We start from the raw sequence: 21,532 nt of genomic DNA, 5'->3' as shown, positions 1-21,532 counted from the left end.
ATTGCTCCCTACATGGCTGGTGACGTGGTCCCTTTCTCCATTGCCTTTCATGGAGGAAGGACTAGGGTGGTCCCTGGAGGGCAGGAGGACGTGTGCCATGGTACATGGTTTGGCACGTTGGGGGCATCGGTGGCCTCAGCTGGGGCCCAGTGAACAAGAGGAGGCAGGCCTGGGGAAGGAGCCTGAAGAAACAGCGGCCCGAGTAGAAGGAAAACTGAAATGGACCCAATTTGATTGCGACTGAAGAGCTACAGAGGGTGTAGCTGGAGCAATAAGCGGGGAGGGAGAAAGCTGAGAAGTCGTGGAAGAAATTAGCAAGTTACCTGGGTGGTCCCTCCCATCTCAGTGGGTCGCTGTGTATGAAATGGGGCCTCTCCTCACCCCCACCTTCCTCCTCGTCAGGTCCCACGGAAGTGGGAAAAACACTTCTGCCGTCCTTTTGGTACCCAAGCAGAGGCTTTAAAAATATGAACTCGTGAGAAGTAGACACAGTGCCTAAATGAAATATAAACTGTGGTGGCTACGGCGGCTGTTTCGTAACAGCCATCTGTACGTCGGCTCCCGGGAAGGGGGACAGAAGCCTGTGATGAGGGATTAGCAATGCTGTCGTGGGTGTGATCAGATACCATTTATGGGGCATTACTAGAAATCAGGCACCATGCAAGCCACCTCATCCCACTTAATCCTCACACCAGCTCTGTGAATTCCACACCATGGCTGTCTTCATTTTACCAACAAGGAGACCAAGGCTGAAAGAGGTACACAGTAACTTGGCCAAGGTCACACATCTCATGAATCCAGGAGTTGGAGCCTGGTCCAGAACCTCAGCTTTGCTGGACAGCAACTAGTTCAGAATAATAATGTGAGGTTTTTGCATAATAATTTGCATTCCTCAAGGTACTTATGATTGTCTTATAATTAGTCTCAGAAGGTAAATAAGGCTGGGTAGATAGGCAAGTTACCAGTGAAAAAACTGAAACCTAGAGACACTGCAGCTTCTCAGAAGTCAGATAGATAGTGGAAAAAAAAACAGGAACAGGATCCAGCCCCACCACCCCCCAGCCCCATCTGCAGGTAATCCATCTCTCATCCCTACAGACAGCACTATGTTTTAGTTTTGTACTAAGGATGAGTGAAATCTATGGTTTGGGTAGCAAAGTATTAATATCTTACTGGATGAGCTTGGTCAAGAGGAGAGCAGATGAGCTTTCTAATGAGCAGCCTGGACTGAAGAGAACCATAGCACACATAGGCATGGCAGGACTCACAAATTGCCATGGATTAGCCCTGTCCCCTCCTGGCCTTTTAGTTTATTGCTGGTAAGGGAATCAAATCACAATGGGGCTTTCTGTTGGCAGGAGTTCATTCATTTGACTGACATTTGACATTACAGGATTCGCCCTGCTGTCATCCCTGTGCTAGGCACAATGTTTGCAACCCTTCCTGTGTTGTTATCTTGCTGTTTACATTGAGTCCCAGATCTGGCTGAAGGGGTAAAAATCCTTTGTTCCATCTGTGTAAACATACATGACCTGATCTCTGCCCACTGACAACATCCAAAGAGTCATTCATCCACATGACATAGAATGTCAAATGCTGCTACTCCACATAGAGGTGGGACCCCCATGGGAGGAGGTACATGTGATGGGGATTTTGACTGGAGGGCCCTCGAGCCGAGCGTGTGGCAGTGTAGTGCTCACCTTGGAGAAGACTCAGCCAGCCTTTATTTTCCGCTGCTCCATGGTTGACTTCGTGCCCTCAGAGATGGTCAAGCCCACCTCTGCCTAGCAGAGCACTCCTGAGAGATGTTTTTAAGTAGGTCATCTGCAGGTGGAAGGCACTTGAGTTGGCCATCACACAGAAATGAAATCTCACGTGTCGTGTTGAGAGTGGCTCTTTTATGTGTACGGGTGCCTTGTATGATAAATGGTTTTGAAGGTTAGCTGCCTTTAAATAGTTGGTACATTGGGCTTTGGGGGCATTGTCACCCCTTTTCTGTCCACCAGCCCTTTGTCATGTGACCTCTAGTCAAGGTTATGGATTTAATATCTATATTAGCCAATTGATTAGCTTTTTTTTTTTTTTTGAGATGGAGTCTCTTTCTGTCGCCCAGGCTGGAGTACAGTGGCATGATCTCAGCTCACTGCAACTTCTGCCTCCTGAGTTCAAGCAATTCTCCAGCCTCAGCCTCCTGAGTAGCTGGGACTACAGGTGCCCGCCACCACGCCTGGCTAATTTTTTGTATTTTTAGTAGAGATGGGGTTTCACCGTGTTAGCCAGGATGGTCTCAATATCCTGACCTCGTGGTCCACCCACCTTGGCCTCCCAAAGTGCTGGGATTACAGGCGTGAGCCACCACACCTGGCCTTTTTTTTTTTTGAGATGGAGTCTCTTTCTGTCGCCCAGGCTGGAGTACAGTGGCATGATCTCAGCTCACTGCAACTTCTGCCTCCCGGGTTCAAGCAATTCTCCAGCCTCAGCCTCCTGAGTAGCTGGGACTACAGGTACACACCACTGCGTCTGGCTAATTTTGTGTTTTTATTGCAGGCAGGGTTTCACCATGTTGGCCAGGCTGGTCTCGAACTCCTGACCTCAGGTGATCCATCCACCTTGGCCTCCCAACGTGCTGGGATTACAGGTGTGAGCCACTGCGCCTGGCCAGCTTTTATTTAAACCTTTAGGGACTATGTGCAACTATTCTATGGTTCATATTTCCTGTGAACAACTTCAGCTCAGATGCTGATTCTAAAGCTATTTTATTTTTATTGCTAACTTCTTTGCCAACCACTGTGTTGCGTTAGCATGAGGAATACCTTCCAAGTGCACAGACACACACGTGCACATGCACGCAGAGTGTACCTTCTCTATTCCTAACAAGAAAGCCCTGCTGCTTGATACATTTATGCGACTGAAGCTATACTTGGGGTTTTCTGGCAGTTTCTGCATGTTTTCTAAGGGCTGTACGGAATGGTTAGCAGCTTCAGATGTCCTTGCTTGGAAGATACCATTTAGGAGGTTAACACTAATCTGAACATAATTTTGGAATATTGGTAGGCATGTAGGTCAGACCTATGCAGAAAGGGGAAGCCTTCACACTCCTCACAGCCATCCAGTGAATTAGGTGTAAGTTATTTCACCTGGCTACCCAGATCGAAGGGTGCCAAACCCAGTGGTGTCCGGAAGTGAGCCAGGACTCAACCCCACGGGCACCTACCCCCACGGGAGTACCCCAATAGAGCTGAGAATCAAGTTTGTTCACTTTGGTCACTTAGTTGTGAACAAAGAGATTGAGCAAGGGAAAAAGTCTTTGAGGCACTCGTGACTGAGTGACTGAATTCTACAGTTGAGACTTGGACCCCAGGTGTTTACTAACTAGACAATAGGCTTGTCCTTCATCTCAGCCACAAGGGGGAAGGAAAAAGGGATGCGAGAGAAATGGTGATTACTTTAGCTGAAGATAAGTACCAGCTGCAGCTGGCATTGAGAAAACAACGAGATTGGCTGTTTCCTACATTGCCCTTTTAGGGAGTGTAACTTTGTGTCTCAAATGATAGGAATATTTTTGTGGTGTTGCAGCACATTCTGGTTATATTTTTGTACCTGTTTGATTTAGCCTGGAGATAAATGATTCCATCCTCTTAAGCCCTTCATTTAAAATATTAATTGATTCTATCTATATCACAAAACGGCTGACAGTTTGCACCAAAAAATATCAGCATATGCAAAATTCCCTTTTCACTGACCCCTGCAAAACCAGTGCTTGAGGCTCTAAAAGGCTGCAGTTTAGAAGGCACATAAAGCCACTTTTTTTTTTTTTGAGATGGAGTCTCGCTCTGTCACCCAGGCTGGAGTGCAGTGGTGCAATCTTGGCTCACTGCAGCCTCCGCCTCCCAGGTTCAAGCACCTCTCCTCCCTTGGCCTTCCGAGTAGCTGGGACTACAGGCGCCCGCCACCACACCCAGCTAATTTTTGTATTTTTAGTAGAGACGGGATTTCACCATATTGGCCAGGCTGGTCTCGAACTCCTGACCTCAGGTGATCTGCCTGCCTCGGCCTCCTAAAGTACTGGGATTACAGGCATGAGCCACCATGCCTGGCCAAAGCCATCCTTTTCTTCCTGATGGGGCAAGGGTGGGGATTAGTCCCACCTGTGGGGCGCTTAGCTGGCCTCCAGATCTGAATGAAGGCAGAGAGCAGGAGCGGCCCCCAGGACCTGCATCGCTAAGGCCCAGAGCTGCCTTCTTGCCTGTGTGTGCGAGGTCATGTGATCTTCTTACCCGCTGTGGGGTGGTGGTTCCCACTTGATCAATAAAGAAACTGAGATGCAGAGAGGTTGTGTGTCCTGAATTCTCAGGCCATCTCTCACCTGGGACTCAGTAGGCCCACCCCCACTTGATTTCCTAGATGGCGTGGGCATCCTCAGGGATGTGACCGAGAGGTGTGCCCACTGTACTTTCACCACTCGTCCCACCCACCCACTCAGGCCTCCCCATATGCACAGGTGTCCCTGGCTGACCTAACCTTGTCACCAGGCATTAGCACAGGGACTGTTGCCATAGAGACCCAATGCTTCCCACTGAACACAGAAAAGATGCTCCTCCCCTTGGGTGGGCCAAGGCCTCTCCCCTCCCCTTTGTCATCCAACGGTCAACAGGTTTAAGAGGTAAACATGCTGTATACGAGGCTCCAAGGACACAGAACACACCAACCCTGACCTCTGCTTTCACACTTTAGCTGGGGTCGGGAGACGGGCCACACAAGCAGACCAAAAACGAGCATGAGTGGCCGATGGGACAGCTGTGAACTGTGCTAAACCCAAGGAGAGGCACCGAGTCAGGGCTGAGATGAAGAAGCTGGCCTGGGGGTCAGGAGGTTCCCCCAGAAGGTGATGCTTCATGAAGCTGGAGCCCCAGGAGGGCTTCCTTCCAGGAGGATCAGGCCTTGAGGCGGGAAAGAGCTTGCCACGGTCCAGGTCTGACACAGGCTTCCCCGGCAAGCCTCCACAACTGTCTGTCATCCAGGCCAGAGGCAGCGACAGCTGTGGATGGAGTCGACGCCTCGGCCGCCCTATAATCCATTCCTCGTGCCCTGCACACCCGTGGGGAAACTCAGTGCAGAGCATGGAGGTGAAGGAGCTGGTAGAGGAAGCTAAATCCCAGCCAGGTCTCACCTGATTTGGGGAACAGCCATCAGATCCTCCCCCACCCTCTCGTGCAGCAGAGTGAGCCTGCTGAAGTTGCAAGAGCATGGTCACGTGGTGCTCACAGCCCTTCACTGGCTTCCCGCGCCCTTGGGCAAGTGTGAGCCCTGTGACAGTGACCAGACCCTCATGCCCCACTGATGCCTCCAGCCCCACCCACTCCCCTTCCTGCTCAGTTGCACTAAATTCAAGGCATTCTGTCTGGCCACAGGACCTTTGCGTGAGATGCTCTCACTGCTGGAAATACCCCGCAACTCCCCACTGGGGCTGATGGCTTTTTACCAGTCACCCTTTTAAGCCCATCTCAGACAAGGCCTCCAGGAAGCCTTCAGGATCCTGCCTACCCTGAGGCCTGGGTTTGGGGCCCTTCTTGTAGGCACAGCTCTCCTCTGAGCCTGGGTCCCAGCTCCTGCTGCCTGCTGCTCTTACTCCCAGTCAGCTCCTGGGGAGGGAATATCAAGTCTTACTCCTTTCGACTTTCAGGATCAAATGTCCATTGAATGAGTGGTTTCCATAATTGCCCTTGTGTTACAATCCCCTTTATAAATGGAACATCTCCTTTTCTAGTCACTGCTGAGAAGAGGGAATCTGTTTCCTCTCTTGGGAACAGGGAGAGAGGGGATCCCTTTGTGGGATTGGGCATTACCAAGCCACTATACATGCTGCCCTGGGTCTGAGGGAGTGGGGAACCCAGGTAGGTGGTGTGATGGGGGCCTTGACATGAATGGCCTGGTGCGGTGGGGGAAGGAAAGGACATGGCAGTATGAGTTTTGTCTGGCAATGCACCATCAGCATGCACAACCCTTCATCCTAGCCCAGACACCGAGGCACACCCAAGCAGCACCTCCTCTTCCTCCTCTAGGTCTCCTCCACCTCCTCCTTCCCAATTCCATTCTGCCTTTGCTTTTTAATTTTTTTTTAAACCCACATAGGTTCTCCCTTCCCCTTCAGAGTTACTGTAGATATGCATTTTCATCCTGCGTTATCCCCCGCAACACATGAGCACTGTGGAGGTGGAGGGAAGTTTTGTGTTTGGAAGAGGGAGGAGGTGATGGGAAGACCATCCCGTGACTTCAGTCGTATGTAGGTACCATGTGTAGGAGAGCCACGTAAAAGGGACAGAAGGGCTGCTGCTAGTAACCACAGCAGGTGCACTCAGGCTGGCCTGGGAGGAAGGCCTCCCCAGCTGTGAGTCACTTAGAGTGGATGCCCTTGGGCTGCGTCCTTCCAATTCTGAGGTCCCATTTCCTCAATTGCCGAATGGGATGATGCCTCACGTAGATGTTGTGAGGATTACATGGGTAATACCTGGGAAGCTCTCATAAACGGATCCGAGTCTTATCTTGGCTGGGGGTGCTGCCCATGCCAGGGCCATATTGTTCAATGGTCCTGTGATTAAGTTGTTGATAAGGACTAACTGTATTAGTCCGTTCTCATGCTGCTATGAAGAAATACCTGAGGGTGGATAATCTATAAAGAAAAGAGGTTTCATTAACTCACAGTTCGCATGGTTTCGAAGACCTCAGGAAACTTACAATCATGGCGGAAGGGGAAGAAAGGCACCTTCTTCACAGAGCAGCAGGAAGGAGAAGTGCAAGCAGGGGAAATGCCAGACAATTATAAAACTGTCAGATCTTGTGAGATTCACTCACTATCACGAGAACAGCATGGGGGACCCGCCCCCATGATACAGTCACCTCCCATGGAGGTCCCTCCCCAACACGTGGGGATTACAATTCAAGATGAGATTTGGGTGGGGACACAGAGCCAGACCATATCACTGACTCCTGAATAGCATTTCTTTCCTTCCTTCCCTCCCTCCCTCCCTCCACAGGTCACAGTGATTCACCTGTGCCAGGACTTCTCAAATCCCAGTAATCCCAGCAACTCAAAGAGGCCTTAGAGAATGCTTGTAAATCAAAACCAAACAGTTAAGAGGGAGCTGGCTGCTTCCCAGTTCCTTCATGAAGCAGCTGGCCCAGGCCAGGGGTTGCATGTGAATTCATTTTGAAATGGCCTGGGGGGCAAAATTACTTTAAACATAACTTTAAGCAGAGAAAATTCCATTCTGCTTCGTCAGCATGATGTAGCAATTAAAATGCTGGTTTTCCTCCTCTTTGAGCACTATCCTTGAATAATTGACGGCTGCACCCACCGGAGGCTGCAAGGCTGTGCTGAAATAAAATGATTTTCATTAGGAGTAGGTGTGGAGCTTCAGGCTACACCTGCGGAATCGGCCCTCATTCATCCTGGCCTCATCGTCATGCCAGCCAGGGCCTCTTCCTCCAAGACCTGTTTGGTGCCCAAAAAATGGTTGGTGAAAGTGATGTATGTGGTGCCACTTTACCCTCCAGGCTACTGTTGCTTCTGTAAAATGCAGATAGTTAGAGTCTTCCTTGGAAAGCCCTCGGCCTGGCTGTCAATGAATTTCTGTTGATGATATCTTGGTAAAAGTTACCAAGCCTCAGGAACCTCCCTTAGGGCCAGGCACCAGGTGAGGTGCATTATTCACATGATCTCATTTATTTCACGCTGCATGACAACCTTTCAAAGTAGGTATTCCTGTGTCCATTTTTACAAGAAAACTAGAGCTAGGAGGGATTAAGAAATTCCTCTAAGACTGTGCAGTTAGCTAGAAGTAAATTTGGGGTGTCAGAGCCCCATCCATCACTCTGATTCTAAAACTTGGGCTGTCTCATACACATTATCTCTCTTAATTTTTCTGCAGAAACTTGTTTTTCAGAAACTGTCTAAATCAGTAATAAAGGAAGGTTGGAGAGAGTGATGATTAAAATCTGAAGAATGAGAACAACTTTTGTTAGCAATCGATACACAGGCCGGGCGCGGTGGCTCACACCTGTAATCCCAGCACTTTGGGAGGCCAAGGCGGGCCAATCTCTTGAGGTCAGAAGTTGGAGACCAGCCTGGGCAGAGATAGGCAAAACCCCGTCTCTACTAAAAATACAAAAATTAGCCAGGCGTGGTGGCGGGCATCTGTAATGCCAGCTACTCAGGAGGCTGAGGCAGGAGAATTGCTTGAACCTGGGAGGTGGAGGTTTCAGTGAGCTGAGATTGCACCAGTGCACTCTAGCCTGGGTGACAGAGACTCCATCTCAAAAAAAAAAAGAAAAGAAAAATCAATATACAGATGCAATAGAAGCAAATTTTGTCTCTTACAAATCTCTACATATAGTTAGTGTATCTTAGGTTACTACATAGAATTGTAAGCCATAGCTCTTTAAAAATATATGTGTGTACACACACAGAGTCATGCTTCACTTAATGACAGAGATACATTCTGAGAAATGCATCATTAGGTAATTTTGTTGTGCAGACATCATGCAGTATACTTATACAAACCTGTATGGCACAGCCTCCTACACACCTAGGCTATACGGCATAGCCTATCGCTCCTAGACTACAAACCTGTGCAGCATGTGACTGTACTGAATACAGTACAATAGGCAAGTGTAGCGTAATGGTAAGTATTTGTGCATCCAAACATATCTAAACATAGAAAAGGTACAGGAAAAATACAGTGTTATAATTACATGGGACCACCATCCTATATGCAGTTCATTGTTGACTGAAACATCTTGTGGGGGGGCGGGGAGGTGTGTGTGTGTGTATTCAAAGGGCTGCATTAGTCAAAAATTGTGAGGTTTTATCCTATATGTGAAATTATATGAATAAGCCCCTTCAGATGTAGTCCCTAGTCACCATAAAGTGACTACATAGGGAACGTTTAATGAAAATTGCTTTTTCCTAGGTGGAATTTTTCAGGCCCCAAGTGATGAAAGCGTTTTACTTACAAAACCGCCTCAACTTACCAGAAAATGAAAGCCAGAAAGCCGTAGCCATGCCCCTGTGTTAGAAACACCACGTGTCTTTGCATCTCCTCCCTCCCCTTATGTGTCTTTTTCTCTTCAGATCAGTATTTACCGAATGTGCCAGATTTGTAAGAATTTGCATTCTACCCCCCATTCCCAGGGAAAGCGTGGGGTCTGCAGGGGAGGGAGGAGCCCTGTGTGATGGCGTGGCGGGAGACAGGAGGGGCTGTGCACTGCTGTCTGGGGGGAGTGTTGGAGTGCCTTTTGTTTTTAAATGTATATACATATATATATAAACATTTATACATCGATGTATTTGTAATATCTGTATTTATTTTTAAATGTATGTATGTGTATATATGTGTGTGTGCCTGTGTATGTATGTATGTATGTGTGTGTATGTATGTGTATATATGCATGTGTATATATATGTATGTATATGCATGCTTTCTTCCTTGTACGGAGAAGTACCCCAGACTGGCAGACAGTGCTTTTAATTTATATGTATAAATATGCACATTTTAATTTTAAAACTTACATGTTGATGTATACATTTATATGATATATATATTTAAACATATACATTTATGTGTGTGTGTACATCTCTAGTTAAGACTCGGCTTGTGCCCCGAGTGTGTGAAACTCCCTAGACCGACACCCTGTGCCACACGGGTTCTGGAGAGCAGGGATTCCACGTGACTGCGCCCCCCGAGGGCTGTCCTCCGGTCTGGTGTGGAGATGCAGGCTGCAGCTTGCACTCCGGGTGTCAGGGCTGTTTGTTCCTGTGGTGTCTGGGAGGAGCTGCGCTCCCACACACACAGCAGGAGAGCTGGCTGTTTTGGAGCAAAGGGGCGTACAAAAGCTATGGGAGCCGGCACTGTCAGGTGGTTGCAGCAGCTTCTGGAAGGTTGGAGGGGAAGGCGGTAGCACTGGAGGCAGCGGGGGCACTCGGCCAGGGACCCAGGGATTGGAAATGCAGCCGTTCTCGTGTCGAGTCAGGGTGTGGCGGCCGTCCTAAGGAACACTCCACCTGTCTTTGGGTTTCAGGTCCCACCCGAAAGATGCCCCCCAGCGCCAGTGCCGTGGACTTCTTCCAGCTCTTTGTCCCAGACAACGTCCTCAAGAACATGGTGGTGCAGACAAACATGTATGCCAAGAAGTTCCAGGAGCGGTTTGGGAGCGACGGAGCCTGGGTGGAGGTGACGCTGACGGAGATGAAGGCGTTCCTGGGCTACATGATCTCCACCAGCATCTCCCACTGCGAGTCCGTCCTCAGCATCTGGAGCGGAGGCTTCTACAGCAACCGCAGCCTCGCCCTCGTCATGAGCCAGGCCCGCTTCGAGAAGATCCTCAAGTACTTCCACGTCGTGGCCTTCCGCTCCAGCCAGACCACGCACGGGCTCTACAAGGTCCAGCCCTTCCTCGACTCCCTGCAGAACAGCTTCGACTCTGCCTTCAGGCCTTCCCAAACCCAGGTGAGGCCCACGCAGGACGTAAGAGCTTGTCCAGGTGTCCTCGCTCTCTCGGCCTAGCCTTGTCTGTTGGCAGGGCTTTGGGGTGTCCTTCCTGCCCTGCCTGCCCTCTGAGTTCACTTCAAGGTCACCTCTGCTATTCTTCCATTCCATTAATCCACATAATCCAAATGAGATCGGAGGGGAGTAATAATAATAGCTCCAGCCTTCAGACAAGTCAGAATTCAGTCTTTTGCTCTGAGAGGCAATCTTCCGCCTCTTTTCTCCCTTTCCTTCCTTATCTTTAATTATACTTTCCAAATGGTGTTTTGCTCAGGCGAATATTAATTTTATTGTCATATTCTCTGAGTGTGGCCTCACCTGTTGGTGACGAAAGGAGGCTAGAAGCCTCCTGGGTGGCAGAGGGAGTGAGCCTGGAATTAGGACCATTCTTCAGATCATCGGGGGTTACTTATGCCCACACAGAGCAGAGCCAGAGCTGTTGGATGAGGGTTTGGCAGAGCTCCAGGCATCTCTGGTCTGATTCCCTAATACCTTCCCCAACCAATTCCAGAAGAAAAGGTTCTGCCTACTCTCAGCTCCCGAGCCCCTTCCTGCCTTCCACTGGTATCCACTTGCACCTGGGACAATGGCACCTGGCCCTGGGGAGATAGAACTCCAGAGTCTTCCTCAAAATTTGCCCGGCTGGTCTAGCAAACCGATGAGATGGCTAATTTCTAGAGATGTCTCTAACCCAAACCAGGAAGTTCTTGGTCCATGTGAGCCCCATTCCCTTTGACTTGGTCTGTGTGGCAACAGAAGTTCAGTTCAATTTTATGTATATATTTAAAGACCCACTGCACATCTCTCTGTCCTGTGCTGCTTCTAAGGCTCTTCTAAATAAACCTCCAATTCTTGTTGCCATTCTCTTGTAGGTCCTCTCTCTAACTCTCTATAGCGTGCCTTCCCCTCACACAGCTGAAAATCACAGGGTTTTTGTGGGGAAGGCAGTGCCCTATTTCGTGTCTGTGGGAGCCTTACATTCTCTCTGGATCGTTCTCCCCACTGTCTGGTGAACATGTCAGGCTCGTTATGATTTCCAAGTGTTTGCAGCGTGCCTTCTGGCCCTTGGAACGCCGCCTTCTTCTCTCTGCCTTGCAAATGCATCCAGTCTCCAGGGCCAGTGTAAGGCCCACAGTCCCGTGTGGATTCCCTGTTATCTGAATTCCCCCCACTATTGATGGGGCAGCCAGATGCCACTGCGCCTCATCCTCCAGTGTGTCATTTACCTTCCTAACAAGAAGTGGAGACTTTCGAGGACATGAGCTCTGCCCTGTAACAGGCCCTGTGGTACCAAGGACGGGCCTGAGCACATTGTCTTTTCTTTCACTAAATACTTGCTTGGTTGAAAATGAAGCAAATGAGAGACGATTGCCTGGATGCAAGGGAAAAATAAACAGCACATTCAGACCATGCTGGGGTCAAACATTTGGAGAGGTGCCGCAGAAGGCTGTGTGCTCGCTGTGCCTAAGTATCTCTCAAGAGGTATCTGCAGTGTAAGTCCAGGGTGAGTGCCTGGCCTCTCTGGCACACTGCAGCGCCTACTAGGAATTCTGAGACTTGTGGGCTCACCTCTCTGCAGCTCCCAGGTACAGGTGTCCTGAGGGGAGGCCCAGCAGCATTGCTGAGCCTGGCTGGGTGGGCAGTGGCTGGACTGCAGGTGGGCAAGTAGGCAGGTGTCCAAGGGAGCAACTCTGCCTCCTTAGCACATGGCTCAGATGGGCAGTACCGGGGTACCAGGAACAGGGAGAGCCTAGAAGGATGATCGTGTTATTCTGCGGCTCACTTGTATTTGCTTCCAGGTGATGAGGCTTGCAGAAGCAGGGCCTGAGATGAGGCTCAATCTGGGGAAGGGCTCTCAGGTCATGTTTGGGGCTTTTTCCCCTTTACTTTTGCCTTCACTTTTCCACCTCTTCCTCCTCTCTCTCCTCCAGCTCATTCTTCTCTCCTTCCATTACTTTGTATTTCATTTTTATTTTACTGTATTTGGGAAATTACATTTTCTTCTTGCTACGTTTTCTACTCGGTGCCCCTACGTGGTAGTGAGGATCCCAGCAGGACACAGATGCTGAGCTCCATCTAGCAGGGCAGCCGAAGAGATGTTGATGCAGGGACTGTTGGCTAGGGGTGTGATCCGGGTTAAGGGAGACCCGAAGGGAGCAGAGAAGGCTGTAGCCCAGGGAGAGGCCTCAGGGCAGGTGGGCAGAGCTTTACCTTGAAGAAGCAGATCTATGGCCACTCCTTGGAGCCTATTTTTATGATGCCATTTCTTTTTTCTTTATTGTCTTATCATTGGTAAAAGTTATATAATCATGTTATCAAAAAATTGAATACATGAAATAAGTTCGAAATAAGTTTAAGGGGCTGATCATAGGTCCCTCCCCTGACTCCCTTGCTCTCTGGCCTCTTGCTGATGACTCCCACTTGGCTGAACAAGCCAGAAACTAGGGGCAGAGAAGCTGGGTGGGGTAATTTATAAGAAGCTGACCTCCAGGCCTCAGCTCAGGGTCTGCAGGGTGGAAAGTGACCCTGGGGGGCAAACAGAGAACACCCAGCACACTCCATCATACAGCCTGGGGCATGTGGCTCCAGGAGAGTCAAAGGGTCTGACTGGTGCCACGCAGCCTGTTGCACCAGCTCCGTGTCAGTAGGTGTAGAGCAAGGTAAGTCAAAGGAGATGAAGTCATAACCACAGAGTACGGTTGGGTGTTTACTATGACCAGAACCTCATGCTTCCTGGGGCTTCCTGTATGTCACCTGTGCCCCTCCATTCCCTGGAGCAGCAGCCTGCCCCATCTGCTGAGGATGCCCCGGGCTTTCCAGTTGGGGTGGGCCTGGCTCTCCCAGGGGCTTGCAGGCCTTGCTGTTCCCTGGGTTGCCAGCATCGGCCCGCCCTGCTCGGCTCCTGCATTTATGCTCTTCTCAGAGACGCATCTGCCACTTAAAGAAGGAAGAGAGTTCTTCTCCTGATGCTTGATTGGAGAAGCTGGAGGCTCTAAAGGAGCCTTGGATTCGCAGCTTTCCGGCTCTGTGAAAATCCCTGTTGGACCCTGGAACATTCAGCTCACAGAGAGGCAATGATTTGCTTGTAAGCCTCAGGGCTTTCTTGGAGGGTCATTGTCTCTGCCTGCAGACACCAGTTGGAACAGTTCTCTTCCCATTGCCCTCATCAGGTGTGTGTGTGGATGGATTAGCTGCAGATTCCCAGGAATCACTCTGCACCCGTCCCTTACACCATCCTTCAGGGCTGCACTCCAAACACACAGCACACTCACCTCACACACTCAGCTCACTCGCACCCTCCAGCCTGCAATCTTGGGAGCCGTTTTATTCCAGCAGCTGTGACCCTTTGGTACGAGTTTGGTCTTAGAGTCTTCAGAGGATTCCCAGAATGTAGCAATGACCAAAGCAGCTGGGGTGTGTGTGTGTGTTTCTACACAAATACAAAATGGGGAGATACTGCATCTCCTCAAAACTGGAGCCAGATTAATTAGAGAAATATTTTCGGGGAGGGATTGTGCAAATCAATAAATGGATGTTTTGTCTTTCCCCTACCATACCTACCACCCTCCACACCTCAAAACGAGCTCATCAAGCACAGGAGGAGGCTCAGGAGATACAGTCATGTAACAGAGAAATGCTGACCCATGTGTAGCCTGGAGGAGAAGCAAGTGGTTTTTCTGGCAGGCAAAGTTTTTGGAGCTTTGGGGAGCATGCTGTTCCGTGCTGCATTTAGTAATGACATATTCATAATTCATTTAATGATGATAGAAAAGGAAAAAGATCATTGAGGGTCAGAAATTCTTGCTGGCCCTTTTGCTTTGATAAGGCATGTGATTAAATATAAATTTGCAACTGATCATATGTTCAATGCAAGTGGAATAGAGGTGCACTTTCTTTCTGAAGAGAATGAGAGAGGGCAATTTTCATTTGCTGTGGCCTCAGAGGACAGAGTAGGATGCACGTCTTCGGCAAGGATCATTGGGCAGGGAAAGGACAGGCAGAGGGCTTTTTTATGCCATCTTTTCCCTTCTCCATCCCCTCCCATTCTCCCACTGTGTGGGGGACTTGTTCATTGCACTTGAATAGTTCCAAATGGGGCTTTGAATGTTTTATGAGCTACAAAGAGCCAGCGAGTGCAAGAAGCCAGGCGTGAGGGCCAGGGGAGACGTTGCAGCTAGGCCAGCCTCCCAGCCTTCCCCTTCACAAGACAGGGGAGACCACATGTGATGTCCCCATGTGTCCATTAGTAGAAAAACTGAGGAGGCAGATATGCACTGCTAAGACTGAACAGTGCAGGGCTGTCACTTTTCGAAAATTGAATGCACGGTAACCTTGCATTCAATTTGCATTCAACCTCAGCCCACCTTCCATTCCTAGAAGAATGGAAGGCAGCTGTCCACATCACACATGGTAAGTATCATCCTCCCTTCTGTCCTTGGAAGACCTTTTTCTGCCATCACCTGGGAGCTTGTTGGGAATGCACAGTCTCAGACCCGGCCTCACAGAATCACAATCCACATTTTAGCAGGATCCTCAGGTGACTGATTTGTTCAAACTTTTTCTGTAAATAGCCAGATGGTAAGTATTTAGACTTTGTATCGGTGTGGTCACTGTTGCGTGTTGTCAGTTCTGATATTGTAGCCCCAAAGCAACCACAGACAATATTTAAATGAGTGAGCATGGCAGTGTTCCAATAAAACTTTATTTACAAAAACAGACGTGGGCCAGACTAGGCAGTAATTTGCTGACCCCGATCTAGGGCATCGTGTAGAGTTCTGGGAATCATTGCCTGCACTCTTCATTTCAGTTCCCTACAGATGCACAATCTAATTCATAATTAAGCTTGAGATAGGATCAGGGAGGGAAGTGTAGCACGTTCCTGAAGTTTATCCTAAAGCCTCCCGAAAGAGCTTTACCTTGAAGAAGCAGATCTGTGGCCACTCCTTGGAGCCTATTTTTATTATGCCATCTCTTTTTTCTTTATTGTCTTATCATTGGGAAAAGTCATATAATCATGTTATCAAAAAGTTGAAATAGATGAAATTAGTTTCAAAATTGCCTTGGGAATCTTGTCAGAAAGGTCATGACAACCTAGAGGAGAACCAGAGGCTGTGTGTTGCAACAGGCCAACAGGGAACTGGGTCATTTGATGAATGATTTATAAAAAGAGGAGGTTCAGCCTGGAAGAAGGAGGTCGTGGGCTGACACGAGGGCTGTCTTGAAAATCCAAAAAAAATAGCATTTTTTTTCTTTGTTTCTCACTGGACAGAAGTCACATCCCTAGGTTTCAGTTAAATATAGGTAAATTGTGGATCAGTGAAAGACTTTTTTAGCAGTTGGAACTTTCCATGAGTGGAAGGGGCTTCCATGAAAAGAAGTGGGTGCCCATCACCAGGCATGTCCAGCCAGAGGACACAGGACCCATGCCAGAGATCCCTCAACCAAGTGAGAGTTGGGACAAGGGACCTTAGGCCAATAATAACAATAATAATAAATTCCATTGATGAAATATCTACTGTGTATCAGGGCCGGTGCTATTTTGCATGTTGAATCCTTTCTTACTGCATCCTTTCTGGAAACAGTAGTATAGATAATGATACCACCCTCCTATAGATAAGAAGGGTCAGGATCAGAGAGGTAAAGTAACTTAGTTAAGGTCACAGAGCTGCTCAAATGCAGAGGCTGAATTTGAGCTCCAATCTGATGAGCCCTCAAGCTCATGCTGCCTTCCGTGAGAGCCTCTGCTTTTTCCCTCCTGGCAGGTGCTACATGAACCCCTGATCGATGAGGATCCTGTATTCATTGCCACGTGCACAGAGCGGGAGCTGCGAAAGAGGAAAAAGCGGAAATTCAGCCTCTGGGTCAGACAATGTTCTTCCACTGGCTTCATCATCCAGGTGAGCCCTGGGCTGAGCCCGGGGAGGGTCGGTGAAGAGGGTCGGGGAAGAAAATCCGGGCGACTTGGGCTCATCTGATACCCAAGAACTTGTTCACATACCCTTTTCACTGTGGGTCCAAGTCCACCCAGATGCTCCTGCGGAGGCCAGGGCTGGGCTGCTCCCTCCTCACCGAGGCAGCGGGTAGCCAGCCCTGGAGAGGCTGCTGCCACCCCTGGCCCCGTTCCCTGCACATTCTTCCTCCAGACTCAAGCCCATCTGGGTAAATGACTCATCAAGGCTCAGGCCGTAGCAATGTTGGCTGGAAGTGTCACCCAAACAGTGGGTCATACGAGGTTTCTACCATCTCCCTGGAGGCTGTCCCTCAAGACTTTTGGACTTGTGGCTTTGAAACTTAAGGCTGTCCCAGAAGGCCTCCCCACTCCCACCAGGTATCTGCCCAACCTTCCTGTTTCCAGGATGCCTTCTTCACAGACCTCCACCAACAGCCTGCTGGTGAAATTATGAATAACCTTCAGCAGGAGCACGTGCCCGAGTCATAGGACCTTGGAGCCAGCATGGCCAACATGGGTGCATGTTTCACAAGAGGTGCCTGAGCTCTGCTTTTTGTGATGATACTCCCAGGAAAAGCATCTGAGGTTGAGCTGCCAGGAGCAGTAGGGTACACAAAGGGAGATGGTGGGGACAGATACACACCAGAATGTGGCTCCTAAGTGACGTCTCCCTGCCTAGTCTAGTTTTTCATGCGTGCTGCGCAGCGACACCTTCTCTCATCAGACAGGCAGGCCAGCCCTGTGGTGACTGCTGACCGCACGCTCACTTGCTGCCCTCGCTTGACCGCATCTCCAGGCCCCAAGGCACAGGGTTTTTGCACTTCCATCTTTCCCTGAACTACAGCAGGATTCGTAGGAAGATTCTGCCGAACATCTCCTCCCCACATCCACTCCAGAACCACAGTGGGGAAAGTGCGCTTGCTCCGGGAAAATGTCTTCCCTCCAAAGCACCATCTCGGCTCCTTCTGCAGGTCTGAGGGACCTTCAGGTTGAGTTGGGGTCAGGATCTCCAGCCAGACTCTGGGGCTCTGCTTGTGCATAGGCATTGTTTGGGGTCTTGCCAGACTGGACCTATCCCAGAGCAGAATTCCCTCACTCCTGGAGGTGCAGCCTCAGCTCCTTGTCCCCTCACATTCTCCAGAGTCCTCTGCCATCTCTATAGTGCCTTTTGTGATGATACTCCCATAGGTACAGGTGCGTCGGGTTCATTTTATGTAAACTTTCCCAAGGGACATTCATTTATTCTTTCAGTAAATATTTATTGAGCACCTGCTACCTGCACACAATTGTGCCAGGCATTGGGATATGCAAACGTGGTCCTGCCATCCTTGAGATCTGCCTAGGTAGCTTTTTTTTTTTTTTTTTTTTTTGAGACGGGGTCTGACTCTGTCACCCAGGCTGAAGTAAAGCAGCATGATCATAGTTTACTTCACCCTCAACTTCCCAGGCTCAAGTGATCTGGTCACCTCAGCCTCTCAAGTAGCTGGGATCATGGACATGTGACACCATTCCTGGCTAATTTATTTTTATTTTCATTTTGGTAGAGATGGAGTCTCACTGTGTTGCCCAGGCTGATCTTGAACTCCTGGGCTCAAGTGATCATCCCGCCTCGGCCTCCCAAAATGCTGAGATTACAGTCAAGAGCCACCATACCGGCCCTGTGTAGCTTTGGAATAAATGTTTACATGCGGATCCTGTGTGCATCTGGCACCACTCCCTTCTCCCTCTACAGTTAGTGAGGAGCTAGAAATCACATCTGTCACCAGGCAAGGCCAAGGCCACAGATCTCTCTCTCTCAGTTCAGATTCGTTCCCAAATTTATAAAATCTGTAAAATCCACATCTATAAGAAGTTTGGGTTGGTACCTTGAAGTTTCCTTTCATTTCTAAAACTCTTGATTCTAGGAGGTTTTGCAGCAGCGTGAAAGTTTGTTTTTAGAAGCCAGAATTGAAGCTGACAACTCCCAGTCAAAAGCAGCGTAGCTTCCACCATTGCCAGGGGCAGCCCTCAAAATGTGCTCAGAGGTGCAGAGCCAAGGAGGCAATTAATTACCCTTCAGTTTCAGGCTGTGCCGTGACAGGACTGGCATGAGAACTTTCTCAGCCCCCGCAGTCCCTCTCTTTGTTCCTAGGTCCAACTGAAGGTGCCTGTGGCAGGCACAGCGCAGGGAAAGGACATCTCTGCCTGTGAGGGGCCAGGAGACGTAGAGGAGCCACATGACCCGGGGACAGTTGTTTTTTTAGAGTCCTGCCCCTTTTCTTGGTTCTCCAGGTGCTAATCTTGGTTTGACAGCTTTTGAAGGTCAGCAGCCTGGGCAAGCACAGCCCTGGGGCAGAATAATACCTTACACCGTCAGAGCTTTCACACTGCAGTTCCCTGATCCTCCCCACAGCCTTGTAAGACATAGAGAGCAGGCCGTGTTGATCCCATTTCTTACATGAGGTGGCTTTGGCTCACAGGGGTTACCTGCCAGACAGCTGGTCAGCACAGAGCTGGCTTCTCCCCTGGGCCTCAACCTGCCTCTTCCCTCGTCCATCCCCAAGGCATAGGCAGCCCCTGCTCTTGCATTTACCTCCCACGTGAACTAGCTGCTCAGTCATTGCTCTGGAATATGGAGTTGTGATCTAGAAATTAAAGATGGGATTAGGTAACCAGTGAGGTCCCTTCTACTGCCAGTGTATGACTCTCTTCTTTGTAAATGTCATATGTAGGGTTCTGTACACAGGACATTTTCTTCATTGTAGTTCCTCAGATGCATTGAGCTCTCCTGAATGACTTAGCGGGGAAGCTCAGTTGCAGCTGACCGTATTAAGGGTCCTCTCCCATTGTGCTGTGCCGCTCGTTAGCGTAGCATCTGCCCCACGCCCTCCTGTTTCTGAGGCTGGCTTTGGCCCGTAGGATGTAGGCAGCTGTGGTATGTGAAAAGATTTGAAGGGGCAAGTGCATACCTCTCCTTTTTTGGCTTCTCTGCCCTGGCCATGAGAAAATGACCAGGATGGATCACCTGGGTCCTGAAAACCTGGGAGCTTAGTAAATGTTTATTATATGGCACATCGATTTTGTAGCTGTTTGAGACCCACTGTAATTGACCCAGGAGCCTATCAGTTAGGTCTGCACAGCTGACCAGGTAACTTTCTTCCAGCCACTATCTACTGTGGACCAAGATAAGGTGTTGAAGGGATGGTGGGGGTCCAGGTGTGTTCCAGGAGAGCCCAAATTATGCATAGACATTGTTGCCCCAGCTTTGTACAAAAAAAATTAGCCAGGCATGGTGGCGCATGCCTGTAATCCCAGATACTTGGGAGGCTGAGGCAGGAGAATTGCTTGAACCTGGGAGGCGGAGGTTGCAGTGAGCCAAGATCGCACCACTGCACTCCAGCCTGGGCAACAAGAGTGAAAATCCATCTCAAAAAAAAAAAAAAAAAAAAGAAAAGAAAATGAAAATGATTGCTGTGCCCCGAGAAAAAGGGAATTCTGCCAGCAGAAGGCCTTTGGGCTTTAGCAGCAGCTTGTCCCTGGGCGCCCAGCCTGCTGGGCTTCTCTGATGTTGGACTTGCCAGCCTCTGTAATTTGCATGAGCCAGTTCCTTAAAATAAATACCTCTGCCTCTTCCTCCCACTCTCCCACTCTCCCATCTTCCATAGATAATTGTGTTTATATACACACACTCGTGCTTCTGTGTCTCGGGAGAATCCTGGCTACTACAGGGGGCTTCCTCTGGCCCACCTGGTTTATTCAGGCCTGTTTGCTTCTCTGATTCTCACTGCTGTTGACCACCTGGGAGTCTGAACTAGAGGGCTGGGGCAATGCTTTCTTCAGTGTTCTTTTCTAGAGCCTAAGAATACTTATTTATTTTTATTTTATTTATTTATTTATTGGTAAGAGTTGGACAGGTCCCTGTTTTCAAGAAGTTTTACAATAAAGAGTTGGGAAGATAAGACCTGCACCAATGCAAATCTAGGCATGGACTGTTTGGTTAACCACACCACCATAGAGTGAGCTTCATGCTTGGCCCCTCAGAACTAGAGATAGAGGGAGCCCTCACTGCCTCTCCAGTAGGAGAGATGGACACGTTAAAAATATTCATCGACATAGCGTGACAAGTGCAATACCGGAGGTGTGTCTGTACGTCGCAGGACTACAGGAAGGCACCTGTAGGGGTAAGAAACACCCCCAGAGTCATATACAGTAGGGTATGTGGTGTGGCAAAGAAGAGAGTAGCCATGAGCTCTTGCCACAGGCCAAGCACCAAGACACCCAATGTTTTAATAGCAGCACTTAAGACAAAAGTAGGCAGGCAGGGAATTATTTATAAGGTAGGGCTCAGGAAATCTTGCGATATGCTTGCTCCTTAGGTGCAGAATGCTGGGTATAGATGAGGCCACAGCCAATGCCTTCTTATTTGGCTTTCCCACTGCTATTTACCCAGGCTGGTCGGGTTCCACTGCTAGTTACCCACTGCTAGATACGATGGTGCACTTAAGACAGCATGCAGAAGCTCCTCGACTTATAATGGGGTTACGTCCCTGTGATAAACCCCTAGTAAATTGAAAATACCTTGTCAGGTTAAGCACAGTGGCTCACACCTGTAATCCCAGCACTTTGGGAGGCCAAGGTAGGCAGATCACTTGAGCCCAGGAATTCAAGACCAGCCTGGGCAACATGGCAAAACCCTGTCTCCACAAAAAATATGAAATAGCTGAGTGTGGTCGCACACATCTGTAGACCCAGCTACTTGGGTGGCTGAGGCGGGAAGGTTCCCTTGAGCCTGGGAGATCAAGGCTACAGTCAGCCAAGATTGCACCACTTCACTCCAGCCTGGGTGTCAGAGCGAGACCCTGTCTCAAAAAAAAAGAAAATATCTTAAGTCAAAAATGCATTTAAAGCTGGGTGCAGTGGCGAGTTCCTGTAGTACCAGCAATGTGGGAGGCTGAGGACGGAGACCACTTGAGTCCAGGAGTTTGAGACCAGCCTGTACAACATAGTGAGACCCTGCCTCTAAAAAAAATGCATTTAATACACCTAACCTACCAAAGAG

General features: G+C 49.2%; 1 protein-coding gene across 1 annotated transcript in view; it reads left to right on the top strand.

Moving 5' to 3' along the window:
• PGBD5 (piggyBac transposable element derived 5) overlaps nucleotides 1–21,532 on the top strand; it is a 111,843-nt gene that overhangs the window by 58,934 nt on the left and 31,377 nt on the right. Inside the window, exons 2-3 of the mRNA NM_001258311.2 lie at nucleotides 10,078–10,505; nucleotides 16,307–16,441. Of these exons, the coding sequence (NP_001245240.1) occupies nucleotides 10,078–10,505; nucleotides 16,307–16,441 (563 nt within the window). The remainder of the gene's footprint in view (nucleotides 1–10,077; nucleotides 10,506–16,306; nucleotides 16,442–21,532) is intronic.

The sequence above is a fragment of the Homo sapiens genome, chromosome 1 (assembly GCF_000001405.40).
Source record: "Homo sapiens chromosome 1, GRCh38.p14 Primary Assembly".
Lineage (NCBI taxonomy): Eukaryota > Metazoa > Chordata > Mammalia > Primates > Hominidae > Homo > Homo sapiens.
This window is presented reverse-complemented; position numbering and strand designations above follow the sequence as displayed.